The sequence below is a fragment of the Homo sapiens genome, chromosome 3, assembly GCF_000001405.40.
Source record: "Homo sapiens chromosome 3, GRCh38.p14 Primary Assembly".
Classification (NCBI taxonomy): domain Eukaryota; kingdom Metazoa; phylum Chordata; class Mammalia; order Primates; family Hominidae; genus Homo; species Homo sapiens.
Genome location: NC_000003.12, coordinates 84,681,465 through 84,697,878, shown reverse-complemented (window position 1 = coordinate 84,697,878; position 16,414 = coordinate 84,681,465). Strand labels below are relative to the sequence as shown.

Below are 16,414 nucleotides of genomic sequence, written 5' to 3'. Positions count from 1 at the left end.
TAAGCTCTGGAGATACTAATGCTAATTTCATCTTTGTTACATTCTTGGATAATCTGTTCTGAGGCTTAGTGTATTGCTGACATACAATGTTCAGATTTTATTTTTCCTTAGTGGACCTGTTGTTTAGTCTTGCTATCGCTAAAGCTTGTTATCATTTATCCCGCTCATTCAGCTGCAAGGTTCAATCCCTGTCCATGATGCTCTCTAATGCCCAATGTCAGTACTTTCTGGCAACTTTTTGTTTTTGTTTATTGGTATAAGCTCTTTTTCCCCTTTGGGAAGATAATAGTTGGTCTTATGGTAAGAATCATTTCAAGTTCTTTTCTCATTTTGAAAATATAATATAGTTTAGCCTTTATATATACAGAGAAAAAGAATGTAATGGTATTTTCCAGTAATAATATTGTTAACATGGGAAACTAATTGGAGAAAACTGTTGGAAAACAAGCCTAGTCAATGTAGAGGTACAGCGATGTATTAAACAAAATCAGCATAGCCAACAGAAAATAGGTGTTACAAAACAGAACATTAGCCTTTCACATAGTCTAGGAGCATTATTAAACAGTGAATGATCTCAGAAAATCAACACCTCCAGTGATATGAGGATCAATTAATAAGGGTAAATAAAATAGGACTGTAGACTTCCTACCATCCTAAAACATATGGATTAACAAATATTATTTGTTAAAAGAGCATGATTCAGATAGAGAAAAACCTTCCATTCTTCACCATGTATATGTAATGCAACAAGAGATCAAAGACAGTTTATGTGTACTCTTCCATATCACCTTGGCACTCACTCTTCCATGCATTCAGAAAATCTTGCTACTGAAAGCACCTGGAACTCTCCCCCTGATGACTTTGCCAGAAGCACTTACCTAGAAAGCAGGCTGGAAATGCTGAGCAAGTGGATGCCCAGGGAGCAGCTCTTATCCAATGACAGTGTAAAAGAAAAATTACAGCAGCTTCCTTGCCTCATAAATAGGACAACTTATAAGTACATTCTACCTGAGGGTTATTCCAATTCCACACCCTAAAAGCAGTCATATTAGCTGAGGGCTTCTTAGAAATCCAAGTGGCATCTCTTGGACTTACAGAATTGGAATATCTGGTGGATGAGCTTCAGGATCTGATTTAAGTGAATCTTTAGATAGCCCCTACATATGCTAAAATTTGGGAAGCATTATTTTACACTAGGAGCCAAAAAGCTTTTAGATTATGTTTCTTATTGAAGCTGAGGCAAACCACCACAAATATAAGTTGATAAAAACAACACAAATTTATTATCTTACCGGTCTCGGGGGCAGAAGTCCAACATCATTCTCATTTGGCTGAAATCAGACTGTCAGTAGAGCTGGTTACTTCTGGAGGTTCTAGGATGGGCCCTGTTTCCTTGCCTTTGCCAAATTCTATTATTTGAATTGTGATCCTTTATCTATCTTCAAAACCAGCAGCGTAGTGTTTTATCTCCTTTACTGACTCTATTTTTGTGTTCATATTGCCTTCCTCTGTCTGACTCCCTTCCTCCCTCTGACAGGGACTCTGCGACTGTATTGGACACATAGAATAATCTAGGATAATCTCTCTGTCTCAAGATCTTCAAATGAATCGCAGCTGTAACGTCCCTTTTGCCAGGGAAGGCAATATATTCACAGATTCTGAGGATTAGGAATGAGACCTCCTTGGAGCCATTGTTTAACCTTTCATAGGCTGGATAATATGTAAGTACTATCTGCCAAGAGGCAAAATTGAGGCTATTGTACAGTCACTTTATGTAAAAAGACAGAAAACTCATGCCCTGCTTCATTTTCCTGGGGTGTGTCTTCCCACGTGGTGGGCCTGCTTTGGCCCAGCTGGAAAAATTTTCCAGAGGAAGAACAATCAACCAGAGAGAGGGAATACCTGGGGGTGGGAAATGGTGGCTGCTTCTCCACCTATCAGTTTTATTCTGTGCTCCAGGAATACCCAGATCTTTGTGCTTCTTTCTTTCCTGAAGAGTTTTGCAAACTCAATTTGGGCAGCTGGACAGTGATCAGGCAACTTTCCGAGTCCCTGACTCCCACCTAGACTGAGATTCCAATGCTAGGTGCCCAGAAGTTTCCAACCAATGCAAAGGTGGCAGCTGGCAAGGGCCCTGTGCAGCAGTAAGGCGAGTCATAGACTGATGAGGCAAGTGCTGGGAGAAACAGGCAAGTGCTGGGAGAAACGGGCAAATGGGGATGTCTTAGCTTGCTTTCCGTAACTCACAGTGCTAGACTGCTAGGGAGCGGTGCCCTTTGTGCATGGGGGCTACATAAACAGGCAATGTGCCAGGCGTGACCTGAAAGCTGTGGTTTGCTGATATCAATTCTACCATTTCCCAGAGATCACCATTGGGAATGAGCTCCATTTGCCCACAACAGTGATCGGCTGATGGCTCCACCCTCTACTTAGTCGCTTCTGTTTCCTGTCCCATGGATTCCTCACCCCACACTAATGCTTCCAGGAACAACTTCTCAAATAAATCACTTGCACGTAAGTCCTGTTTTCAGGAGCACTTCTCAGTTAACACAGCCAGGACCAGAGATAGTAGAAATGTTTTAGGAAGTCAATTCTATTTGATTTCTCATTAATATCAGGCCTTGAGTAGATAGAAAGGTACATGCTTTTTCTACTTATTCTCCCATTGGTTTGTTGTTTATTTGTTATGATGGTGTTGGGTATAGATGGAAGAGTATAGTAATATTAATAAGGTAGAAATCCATGGATGATCTCTAAATGAAGCAAATGATAGAGGAGAAAATTATCTAGGAATATAAGAAAATTGATAATAGAAAAATACCATTCAGCTCTGCAAATTGTTGTTTGGACCTCTAATATTTGAAAATCATTCTAGAAGAATAAAGAGTTTGTCATATTTTTGCCCGCTTGCCAGGGTGTTTTCTAAATCCCCGGTAGCCAGTGCTCTGCTGAAGGTCTGAATAATGTTTCTCTAACACAAACTTAAAATGCAAGTTTAAAGTCAGAAAAACTGTTCTTTTTCAGTTATTTGAAAGGAAGGACCATTTAAAAAATGCCTTCAGGTTTATAAAAAAAGTATTTGTCCTTTCCTGGGGCAAAATAAGAATAAGGTGCCAGAAATGGAACATTCAGAAGGATAATGCATATATGTCAGTTAGGTCTTAATCTGTTTTGGTTAGAATACGAGATCTAAACTTTTAATCTGATATTAAGAGACACTATTTTTCACAAATACGTGGCTAATGTAACAAGTGCACACATTTTAGAATTTTAACTAATCAAGCTAATAGTTTTCACAACATATCCTTTTCTAATATTATAATTACAAGGAAAAATTTCATGTAGTGCGATTGTCACCAGCGAGATTCCAATTTAACCATAATAACATTAGTGAGTAACAGGGCATGGAAATGAGCTCTATAAACCGGCAGCATAAGGAAAAGATTTTATACCCACACTCTATTTGGAATGTGATCACTACTGTCTTAGTGCTTCTGTGATTGCTCAATTTCTCAGGTAAAAGTATACTTAACATGTTAAAACAATTAACATTTAAAGTAAAAAAGTCAAGCTTATATAGAGTAAGTTGGAGTTTGAGGCAAGTATTCAGTAATTCATGTTCCCTTTATCTACCCTCTGATGTATACATAACTACAAATAAATGAATGAAACCTATTGTGTCAATTAATAGTATATATTATAGAAACTAAAATGTCTGTTTATCCATTTTATTGAAGTTACTCAATTGTCCCAGATTTTTAGTATGCTTTTTATATGCAAGTATAAAGATTAAAGTTAGATTAAATATAGATTTACATAGAAACCTACAATACAGGGGTTTATGTAGGTAAGAGTAATCATGTAGTGATAGAAGTAAATATATTTATTAACTGTAATAACTTCTGAACAACTGACCACAAAGTAATTCCCAAAGTGGTGAACACTTCCACTATTTCTGAAACCTATACAATCTAAGAGAGGTAGCTTTAGTATCATATTCACTGTTATAATATTATTGACTATTTGTAAAATAAACGGAACATTGGTTTTATAAATCAAACCATAAATACTACTGAAGTGTACTAAATTTTGGCCTGTGGTAAGTTGCCAATTAAGGATTAACATATCTGTGTATCTCAATAGAGCAGAAACAGTTGAACTTTGAAAAATTTATGAGTGTGTAAGCTATTTACACCTTTAAAACTGGTAATGAGTAAGAAAACAATTGGGAAACACTCCTTTAAGGACTAAATTTTTAAAAGAAACCAGAGATTGCAGCTTGTCCGAAAAGCATGGGTGACTTACTATCATGATGACATTTTTGTAGTTTCTTCATGACCAAGTATTAGATTATAATGGCATGTGTCTCCTTCCACAAAATGTGGTACACTATTGGTGAACAGCTACTATATCTGTTGTTTTCATTACAACTTCAAATTATCTGACAAAATAACTGTATAAAGAATAGTTCCAAACCAACATTATTTTAAACCTCACTTCTGAACACAATGTCTATCAATACTCAGCTTTCTCTAACATTTTTCACATAGGAATTCCAATTAGAGAGAGCACAGCTAAGCTATATCTTATTTTAAAAGAGAATTTTATTGCCTGTATTTATGTTAAAAATGGGACTGCTGGGAGGCCAGGAGGGCAGATCACCTGTGGTCAGGAGTTTGAGACCAGCCTGGCCAACATGGTGAAAACCCATCTCTACTAAAAATACAAAAATTAGCCGGGTATGGTGGCAGGCACAGGTAATCCCAGATATTCAGGAGGCTGAGGCAGGAGAATCGCTTGAACTGGGAAGCAGAGGTTGCAGTGAGCTGAGATCGCGCCATTGCACTCCCAACCTGGGCGACAAGAGCAAAACTCCGTCTAAAAAAAAAAAAAAAAAAAAAAAAAAAAACAGGACTGCTAATGTCTCTATATTAATTCTATATGGTTTTAGGTAAAATTAATATAATATTTAGGTATAATTAACATACAATAACATTCATTTATTTAAATTTTTCAAAACTTGACAAGTTTGCTAATGTATACATCCCATACAATAATTACCACATTCAAGATATTGAATATATTCATAATCTACATATCTACAAAAGTTTCTCTGTGCCCTGTGGTAATCACAGTTTCCTACCTACCATGCTAGTACCAACTTTCCCAGGCAACAACTGATCTTAATTGTCATCATTGATTAAATTGAAAGTTCTGCCTGTGGGATGTCTGCAAAGCTGGGTGTAGCTGACCTGCACCTCCTAGGGCTGGCTCTCTGGAACAAGACATGGCTGGGGGTCCCAGCCCCCGAGGCTGGTCTTGCTCTGACATGGTTGCCATACCTGAGAGAGGAAAGTGACTCAAGTTCTGGGCCTACGATGCCTGCTCCAGACTAGTGACTGTGGCAGATTATGCCAGCCCAGATCTGGCAATCATGAGGTCTGGATGAGTCAAGAAGGAAGTCACTAATGCTATTTAGCAGGAAGTAAAACCTATTTGTGGCTTAAAAGCCTTCCAGATTCCTTTAGAGGAAGCTTTTTTTTTTTTTTTCTGGGACAGGTGAACACTGTGACATCATCAACAGCAGTGATGAGATGGATCCAGCTTAGGAGGAAAACATCCATGAGAGAACTTGTCTCTAGAAAAAAGAAAAGAAAAAGGAAACAGGAGACCTAGACGGGGCTGGAACAACATAGTGTCCCATGGATATTTTACTATTTCCCGCCTCCTACGTCTGTCCTGAGGATATTGTGAAATTTTTCTTCATTTGTAAAAATGCCTGGACTGTCACTTGTACTGCTGCCTTTTGGATCAGGTTATATCAAAAGCATTACATGCTGAATGCTTTTCAGCCTTTGCACCTGTGACCACAGTCAATGGGGAAGCTGCAGTCTCTGGGCATATGTGATCCAGTCTCTGTACTGTATAAGTGATTTGTGGCTCAACTCTCCAAGAATCCAGCCATTGCAGAAGCCACTCCCAGCACATTAAAGAATTCCAAATGCTTACTTTTCTGGTGCAGAATGGGCCCAGAGAAGAACCGATGTGGGAAATCAACTTCAAGTTCAAAAAACAGGCCCCTACGTTAAAGAGCAATGTACGGGAGGATTGCAGTCTCTCTTTCAGTATGAAGATGTTCACACCAACTCAGTCCAGGTGTGCTGCCTATTGTAGGTCACCACCCTCAATTTCATCTTTATCTCTTATCTCTCTCTCTTATCCTTCTGGGGTTTCCACATGATAGCCTGCTTGATGGTACCTCATTCTCTTAGTCATTGTTCACTTGGGTTCAATCTTTTTTCCTTCTATCCCTCAGACTTCATCATTTCTATTGTCTCATCTTCAAGTTTACTGATTCTTTTTTCATTATGCTTAGATCTGCCTTTGAGTCCTTCTAGTGAATTTTTTAGTTATTGTACTTCTTGGCTCTAGAATTACTTCTTGGTTCCTTTTTAGGCTTTCTAATATTTTATTAATATTTCCCTTTTGTTCATGCATAGTTTTCTTGACTTTATGTCTTAGTTCTTTGAGCATCTTTAAGATTGTTGTTTTAATGTCTGCATTTTAGATCTTCTCTCAGTTCTTTTTTAGGGAAAGTTTGGTTGTTGTTGTTGTTTTGTTTGTTTTGTTTTGTTTTCCTTTGAATGGGCCATACTTTCCTATTTCTTTGTATGACCGGTAATTTTTTTTTTTTTTTCTGAGATGGAGTCTCACTCTGTCACCCAGGCTAGAGTGCAGTGGTGTGATCTTGGCTCACTGCAACCTCTGTGTCCTGGGTTCAAGTGATTCCCCTGCCTCAGCCTCCCGAGTAGCTGGGACTATAGGTGTGTGCCACCACGCCTGGCTAATTTTTTGTATTTTAGTACAGACAGGGTTTCACCATGTTGGCCAGGATAGTCTCAATCTCCTGACCTTGTGATCTGCCTGCCTCGGCCTCCCAAAGTGCTGGGATTACAGGCGTGAGCTACCATGCCTGGAAGACATGTAATTTTTTTAAATCAAAACTGGACATTTTAATTGAATAATGTAATAGTTCTGCAAATAAGATTCTCATTCTTCCTCAGGATTTGCTCTGTCTTTTGTTATGGTGGCTTTGTTTGGATTTTTGTAGGTCATTTCTGTTATAAGGATAAGCCTAAGGTGTAAACTTAAGGTCTCCTCAGGTCTTTTTAGAGCATACATCATCTGCTGGGCGTGCACAATGACTTCTTAATTTCCTCATACATGTGGTTGATTTTGGATGTTCTAGTCTTTAATATCTGGCTCTCAAAGGGGAAAAAGTAAAATGAAGAATGGAGCTACTGAACTTTGAGATCTACTGGATGTCACTTCAGGTGTAGGGTGAAGGACTTGCAACCATGCGACTGGGAAGTGCAGTAGTCTCTGCCTGCCTCCATGTCTGCACATCTGTGATTATATGCAGTAAACAAAACACAGATTCCTAATGTTTGGTGGACAGGATTCTTATCATCCACCCCAGCTATGTGCAGGGTTTTCAAGAAACACATGCACAGCTGTTGGCATGAAGCTAGGAGTTGGGAGAAGAGTAATCAATACTGAGCTAAGAGCCAAAATTAACTGCAATTTACATCCAAGCCTTCTGAAATTTATAATTGTTCAATAGACTGTAGAGTTCCGAAATATGTCAAGCAAAGTGATTCTGCCAGTGCAATTGTTGACTAGGTGGGGACAGAGATTTCTGGTGCTCCGTACTCCAACATTTTTCTGGAATCCTCTTCTAAATAGGTAATTATCTTTTAAAAAGAATTAAACAATAACAAAAAATTGTATATTCATCCATAGAGTCACCATTTCTGATGCCACTCATTCCTTTTTGTAAATCATTTAGTATTATTTTTCTTCTTTCTGCAGGAGCTCTGGACATTAATATTTTGGTTCATGTGTGTCTAATAGTGACAATAATTTGAGCTTTTGTATGTATATTTAAGACTTTATTCTACCTTTGTTTTTGAAATATTTTTTCCTTACCATAAAATTCTAGGTTAACAACTCTTTAGAACCTTTAGTGAATTGCTTAAGTGCCATTTTACTTACATTGTTGCTGATGAAAAATCTGCTGCCTTCCTTCTGTCTGTACATTGGTAAATATTATATTTTCTCTGTTGGCTTCTAGGATTTCCCCTTTAATACTGGTTTTGAACAATTTGATTAAGATTTAATTTTGAATAGTTATTTTATGTTTTTGTACTTTGGTTTTTTGAACTCTTTAGATCTGTGGAATACATAATTTAGACTTTGTAAATTTTCCAGATATTATTTCTTCAAATTTATTTTTTGCCCCTTTACTCTGCCTCATTTGTTTTTTCAAATTATACATATGTTAGGTAAATTGATGTTGCCACATGACCTACTTATATTCTTTCATTCTTTTTTTTTCCCCTGTCAAGGGCTTATAAGAAAACTTCCACTATTTTTAATAGTTTTTTTTCACTGTTTTATTTTGAATCTTTTATAAAGAAATAAAAAATTGTCTTTGATTTCATGAATATGTTTATTTGCAATAACATGTTTATATAAGTTTATTTGCAATATCTAATCTGAAATTAATCTGATCCAATGCATTTTTATCTCAACTATTCAAATTTTTTCTCCAACAAGTTTAATTGGGGTTATTTTTATATATCTTCAATATCTCTAATTTGAACAAATGAAAGATAGTTTTAATAACTATTTTATAGACATTGACTGCTCATTCTAGTACCTGTGTCAGTCTTGGATCAGTTTCAATTGATGGGTTTTCTTCCTCATTATAGGATGTGATTTTCTGCTGCTGCATGGCTGATAACTTTTGACCTATTAGTACGCATTTTAAATTTTACTTTGTTGAGTCATGGATTTTTTTATTTCTATAAATATTCTTGAGTTTTGTTCTGAGGCTCTGATAATTTACTTAGAAAGTGTTTGATTTTGTTTTTTGGCCTTATTTTAAACATTTATTAGGTGAGAAAATAACAGCATTTATTTTATTGCTATTTCTATTAAGATCCCTCTGAGTACTCTACCCAATTTCTTGTAAATTATGGGCCTGTTGGTCTGTTTTAATAAATTTTTATTCAGATCACTTCTCTCTGGTATAAGTTATAACTTATTCTTTATACTGAGATTGTTTTCTCATTTTCTGTAATTTCTTCGCTTGCCTAAGTCAAAAATCGTTGCATTTACTTTAATATTGCTATTTCTGTTGTTACATTTTCAAATATGAGTCTATTTCTTATGTTTTCATATGCTTTTTTGAATGTATTTAAATTTTCTTCATTTATGATTGGTACAATTTTCTTCTCCTTTGTGATTACTTTGTGCAAAGAATTATATTACCTCAAATGTTTTGATTTTTCTTATCTAGTTTACTTTACTGTAATTTTTTATGGAGTTGGTCTGATGTTTCCTATTCCTAACCATTTCATGGACAAGTTCCTACTTTAAGATTACATTCTTTCATCAATGTATTTAAATATGTTTCATTAATAGATAAAGGTTATGGTGATGGGAGTGGTAAATTTTCTCAGCTGGAATACTTTGATTGTTATTTTCTATTCTCTTGTTAAGGTAAATTTTTTATGAAAATTATCTGACATTTTTATTCCTAGGCAGGTAATGGACATATTTTTTATTTAAAAATACCGTCTTTTGTTAGTATAGTAAAATGTAACTTTTTAAAATAATATGACAGTATTTGTTGTTGTTTTATCTTTTCAATATAACTTTTTAATTTTTGTTTACTGTCTTATCTTAAATGGCAACTTACCCTTCTCTAGTTATCTCATTTCTCTGCAGAGAAATGTTCTTCCAGGCTTTCTGTCTTCAGTCCCACTAACTTCTAAGTTTCATCCCTAGACCAAGTGATAGGCACTACCAATTTCCAGACTTTTGATTACTAATTTGACTTTTTCTGAGGACATCTATGCCTGTGCTTTGACTTTAGTTTCTACAATCCTCCTGTATTCTCTCCTAAGCCTCCTGTAAGAGGGCGGCTGAGGACTGTCTCCCAAAAACACATATCCACATGAAGCCTATGAAGGTAACCTTGTTTGAAACAGGATCTTTGCAGGTATAATCATGTTAAGATGAAGTAAAACTGGATCGAGGGCCCACCTAAATGGGCCATAAATCCAATATTACTAGTGTTTTTAAGAAGAGGGAAATTGGACACAGGACCACAGGGGAGAACACTGTGTGAAGATGGAGGCAAAGATTGGAGAGATGCGTCTGTGAGCCAATCCATCCCCAAAACGGCTGGAAACCACCAGAAGCTAGGAGAGAAACATGAAATAGATTTTCTCTTAGAGTCTCCAGTAAAAACTAACCTTACCAATTTCAGCTTTCTGGCCTCTGAATTGTGAAAGAGTACATTTCTGTTGGTTTAGGCCACTTCATTTGTGGTGATTTGTTCTGCCAGCACTGGGAAACGAATACAACTCCTCTCCTTCACTCTTCATGTCCATAAACTTGTTTCTGAAGCAGGAGCTTCACTTGTAGATCTATTGGAAGATGTTTATTTCAGAAATTATAACAGTAGGTTCAAGGAATTCTCTACCTCCTAGCAATGGTAAATGTTTATAGCATGTGAAGTTATTTATTTGCATGGAGTTTGGAAAGTCTGGGCAGTGTAGGCTCACATAGACACAGTTTACCTGGAGACATTGCTTTTTTAAAAATTATTTATTTATTATTATTATACTTTAAGTTTTAGGGTACATGTGCACAATGTGCAGGTTAGTTACATATGTATACACGTGCCATGCTGGTGCACTGCACCCACTAACTCATCATCTAGCATTAGGTATATCTCCCAGTGCTATCCCTCCCCCCTCCCCCCACCCCACAACAGTCCCCAGAGTGTGATGTTCCCCTTCCTGTGTCCATGTGTTCTCATTGTTCAATTCCCACCTATGAGTGAGAATATGTGGTGTTTGGTTTTTTGTTCTTGTGATAGTTTACTGAGAATGATGATTTCCAATTTCATCCATGTCCCTACAAAGGACATGAACTCATCATTTTTTTACGGCTGCATAATATTCCATGGTGTATATGTGCCACATTTTCTTAATCCAGTCTATCATTGTTGGACATTTGGGTTGGTTCCAAGTCTTTGCTATTGTGAATCATGGCACAATAAAAATGCGTGTGCATGTGTCTTTATAGCAGCATGATTTATAGTCCTTTAGGTATATACCCAGTAATGGGATGGCTGGGTCAAATGTGGATCTAATTAAACTAAAGAGCTTCTGCACAGCAAAAGAAACTACCATCAGAGTGAACAGGCAACCTACAAAATGGGAGAAAATTTTCACAACCTACTCATCTGACAAAGGGCTAATATCCACAATCTACAATGAACTCAAACAAATATACAAGAAAAAAACAAACAACCCCATCAAAAAGTGGGTGAAGGACATGAACAGACACTTCTCAAAAGAAGACATTTATGCAGCCAAAAAACACATGAAAAAATGCTCACCATCACTGGCCATCAGAGAAATGCAAATCAAAACCACAATGAGATACCATTTCACACCAGTTAGAATGGCTATCATTAAAAAGTCAGGAAACAGCAGGTGCTGGAGAGCATGTGGAGAAATAGGAACACTTTTACACTGTTGGTGGGGCTGTAAACTAGTTCAACCATTGTGGAAGTCAGTGTGGTGATTCCTCAGGGATCTAGAACTAGAAATACCATTTGACACAGCCATCCCATTACTGGGTATATACCCAAAGGACATTGCTTTTTATTGCTCTTTTAAGAAGTGTCCAAGGATGACCATGAAAAAGGAAGAATTTTTCAGAGAACAGAGCTAATGGCTAATGAATATGTCAGAATTGAGGACTATCTTTAGGAGAAAATAATGGCCTAATCAAGATTTCCTATGATCATTTTAGATTTTTAAACTGTGTTCTGCATAAGTTTCAGAATTTCTATGAATCATTGACTACTAGAAGCGTCTCATCTTCCCTTTTCCTAAAATAAATGCTTACTGTGGCTGATCTGTATATCTTCACTCTTGTAGCTTAGTATATAGTGAGAAAGTAACATTTTTTTAGTATATCATTGTTGTTATTTGTATTATTTTATACAATAGATTTCTAGATGATATGAATTATATTCAGACCTGAAGAGAGGACAGAAAAATTCTGGACTTCAAACTCAATGCAATGATTGGATAAGACTTTCGGAGTAACTTCTTTTGGGATTGCGTAAGAGATCAAGACTACAGACTTTGGTAGATTTTACCGCCCCAATTATTTGCTTTTTATAAAAGGATAATACATTATTTCCCATTGGCAAGTGAATTATAGTGCCTTACCAATTATAAGAAAAGAAAATGTCTGTTAATTTTGAGCATAGATAGCCATGTGATGTTTTTGGTCATTTGGATGTAAGCTGGTGTAATTAACATATCTGAGTAGTAAACATAACTGCAAGCTTCTATCAGCTATCTTTTTTTCTGTGTGTTTTTTTTAACCATTCTAATAACAGGGATGGTGTAAATGGAAGTTATTTATTTAACTACAGTCCAAAAGGGATAGACACATGGAGCAGAACAGCAGCTGCAGACATAAAGCTTCTGATGACTCATGTTTTATGCCACTGAATTTGAGAGCTGTTTGTTACCAAAGCGAAGCTGTCTGTTACAACCTTCAGAAACTTAACAAATGTAACAACAATTACAAAACTAAATAGATTTAATGGCTGGCAGTGATTGATGTGTGGAATGAAATTGTGTAAATTCACTCATCTTTCACAACTTTGCTAGAATACCTATTTTTATGTTAAAACATTAAGTTAAAAATAGAACATATGACTGCAATCATTTAATACTTATTCTTAATCCTTTTCTTATTTGTAGTATAATCAACATTTATCAGAAGTTTGGCAAATACATGTTCATTGTAATGTGACTTAGTAACGAATTGTATCATGATTCAGAGTTCTTTTTACATTATTGATTCTGGGCTATCATTGTATCATGCTCCAGGCAATAAAATACAAAGGAAATGAGAATATGTCAGTTCTGAATTCAGGCCTTATATGGTATTGAATACTTCTGCCGGTTTTCTTGAGCTCATGGCACCAATATGAGAACAAGCCCAGGATAGCCTGCTGGAGGATGACAGACTGGGACATTAGAGCCAGCTTACACTTACTTGCAAGAACCAATTATGCACATCTGTTCCCAACTCACATTTAGTGACATCTTATTGGTAAATTGAAATTACTTCAAGGCTGAGTATACGTCTGCTGTTGTGGATCAAAATATTTTCTAAATTTCATGTCTTCGTATTATGATCTTAGTTAGTTCAGTGAATTTTTCAACATCTGAAGGCCCTGAATTTCTAAAATCTCTCTCTTTTTTCTTTTATTTCTGCTTGCAAAATGGCTACTTTTATCTGAGCTTGTCTGTTTCTTTCAATACAGTTCCTAAAGAAACTACTAGCAACTGAAACAATACTCTGAAACTAATATTCTGTTTTCCAATCTTTAGATCTAAAAGTTTCTTAGGTAATCAATCCTTCTAAATTATTTAAAACCACAATTTTAGGAGATATTTTACCAATGTAAATTTCACCAATTTTTAACTTCTAATTCAAGTTTTATTTTAAAGTCTGCTGAATTTAAAAGCAGATGCCAATGCAACTTACTTTTTAAGGCAGCACTCTACTTTTGATACCATAAACAGGGGTTCATTCTATATTGCCTTTCCTGAATAATATAACCTGATGTAAACTCCACTGTCTGCAGAGATGTAGGTTGTTGTGGCTGTGGAAAGGAGACATAGCAAACTGTGCCTCACTTCTTAGAGGTTTTTATTCTAAAAATAAAAACAAGACTTCATATAGGCCTGATGTGGCACAGAGTAATCCTACAATTTTCTTTAGAAAGGGGAGAAGCAAAAATCTAAGGATAACATTAATCATTACCATGGTAATAGAAGGGCAAGTACACAAAATAGAAATAATACCATGATTAAAGGAAGACAAAGATGTGGCAGTTACTGAAGAAAGTGTTCATTAGTTTTCTAGTGCAGAGTGCAAGTTTGGGTTTGAAAAGGCAGCCAGCATTTGGATGGCTGCCACAGAGACAATATCAACGGCCAGTTAGTCTTACCAAGAGCATCAAGGACAAAGAAGAGGGAAGTACAGCAGCTCCCACATAATCACATGTTCCCTTCCTTGTCAACAGAGGTAAAAACAACCTAGATTCGTGAGAAGAGGAAGAGTAAAAGAACTGCAGCTTTCCTCCCACTCTTAAGGTAGATATCTGGCTAGATTTTGGGGATATAAGGAGGTGACCATTAAATGGATGCATTTGATTGATGCTTTAAGGTTGGCCACACTTTTATTTATAACTGAAGTAACCAGAAAATTAGAAACGTATGCAAGATATGTACTATTAGGAAATTGAAAGAGGTCTTTAAAAATATGACTGTAGGTAGTGTTTGGATACAAATAAAATATATACAATCAGTTCTAATTATTTGTGGTAGTTGTGTTCTAGAAAGTTACCACAAACATTGAGTTTTCAAATAGAGAACCATTGCTCCTAAGGAAAATACAGAATTAGGTTCCTGAAAGCCTCTGATCATAGCATTTTAATTAACTTATCAGTGCATAACTGTGTTTTATGTGTGTGTTTTTAAGGACATCATATTTAATTTGTAATTGATCCATTAGCATTAAACCCACAGCCAGTATCACTCTAAGTCATGCCTGCATGCAGCTTATCGAACACGTATTTTCTCACAAAGGCACATCATGATTTTTTATACTTGGGAACACTAGACATCACATTAGCATTATGCTTGGAGGTCATTTTTAAACAGCAATATCAACAACGAAAAGTACTTTGTAACTGAAATGACCAGAAAGTTAGAAATGTGTGTAAAAAATGTGCTATTGTGGAAATGAAAGAGGTCTTAAATATATGGCTGAAGCCAGTGTTTTGATACAAATAAAATAGATACACTCAATATGTAAATATGTAAAGATTTAATGTATACAATGTGTAAAAAAATGTGACACCAAATAGACTGAAAAAGAAAAAACAACATTTTCTTGCAGTATGTGACTAAAACAACAAGGTGGAATGTCTCCTTGTTTGACGTAGGCAGGGGACATGTACCTGGGGCAACTCAAATATTTTGCTACTCTGTGCATGCCTCTGAATGATCATGAACACATTGGGTATCATTGATCTTTGCAAAGTTTTAGAGCAGGCTTCAGAATGGTAAATGTTTTTTAACTGAGTGTGAAATTGGAATTTGTTAGCCACATGAGTATATGATAAAGGTCCATCTAGCCAGAGAGAATATTATATAGAAAGACAGAGAAGCAGAAATGAATATGGTATTTATTGAGGATTGTAAGAGATCTGAAAGGTATTAAAGTGCAAGATCATAGATGATGAGTGTACCACGTTAAAACTTTTGTCTAGGAATAAAGGAGATACCATCAGATTGTTTTGAGCAGAGAAGGAGAGTTGATTGTACATATATTCTTATTTTAGAAAATGCATTCTGGAAACACTGTGGAGGATACACTAAAGTGATATGACAGGAGAAAGGATGACTGAGGCTCCTCCAATTTGTAGGTGAAAAATTTTGAGTCTTCTTTGATTCCAAGATTTTATGGCATAGAGTCCAAGACTCTAAGAAATACTGTGAGAGAGGAGCAAAAAAGATAATTCTGTGGTTGGGGTAGGGACTTCTAACTTGGAGTTTAAGAAGAACAACTTTGAAAAAATAATATTTAATTAATTTTGAACAACTGATAAATGTATATGGTTCAAAAATAGAAAAAAATTGCAAAAGGGTACAAAAAGTTAAAACATGTCTCTTTTACTTAAAGTCCTCCCACTATGCAGAACCTCGTGGTGGAGGACAAATTTTTTTTTTTTTTTTTTGGAGAGCACAATTTTTTACTTTTTTATGCAAATTGCTATGCAGAGGAATCTAGAAAAAGCACGGCATTTGGGAGCAACATTGATGGGTTTTCTGGATTTGGAGATGAAATACAGTGCATTTATAAAGACCTTAGAAGACAATATTGATTGAATGAAATCATAGAGAGAAATTGTGAGGAGACCCAGCATTAGACAAAAACTGTCAATTACAAATTTAGTTAGAAGTTCTGTTACATGATCACAATATTATTATCTTTTGAATCATGAGTTTTAAATATACTGAAGAGTAGAAATTATATCAATTGATCTCAGAAGTGTATTCTTAATTTTACTTCACTGTTAGAAACGTTTTTTAATATCTAATGAAAATCTCCATCTATTAATTTTATCACAGTGATTTGTTTTAGTAGGAAAAGGATTATAGAAGACTACAAGAAAACAAAAGCAAATAGTAAAAAGAAATTAATAAAATACAACTTTGAATTTCACAGTTAT

The 16,414-nt window shown here is 35.7% G+C and overlaps 1 long non-coding RNA gene and 1 pseudogene across 1 annotated transcript in view, besides 1 other annotated feature; both read left to right on the top strand.

The window, feature by feature from the left end:
• LINC00971 (long intergenic non-protein coding RNA 971) overlaps positions 1–16,414 on the top strand; it is a 231,171-nt gene that overhangs the window by 171,697 nt on the left and 43,060 nt on the right. Inside the window, exons 12-16 of the long non-coding RNA NR_033860.1 lie at positions 1,538–1,721; positions 1,997–2,169; positions 2,364–2,514; positions 12,099–12,239; positions 14,201–14,270. This is a non-coding gene — a long non-coding RNA (long intergenic non-protein coding RNA 971). The remainder of the gene's footprint in view (positions 1–1,537; positions 1,722–1,996; positions 2,170–2,363; positions 2,515–12,098; positions 12,240–14,200; positions 14,271–16,414) is intronic.
• Positions 996–2,195: an enhancer, noted in NCBI's record as "CDK7 strongly-dependent group 2 enhancer chr3:84744835-84746034 (GRCh37/hg19 assembly coordinates)". NCBI's record gives its function as "activates an origin of replication core promoter dependent on BRD2, BRD4, P300/CBP, MED14 and CDK7 cofactors, with strong dependence on CDK7, by STARR-seq in HCT116 cells {active_cell/tissue: HCT116}" and the evidence as "EXISTENCE:reporter gene assay evidence [ECO:0000049][PMID:35650434]".
• On the top strand, positions 5,208–6,200 carry TMEM183AP5 (TMEM183A pseudogene 5; annotated as a pseudogene).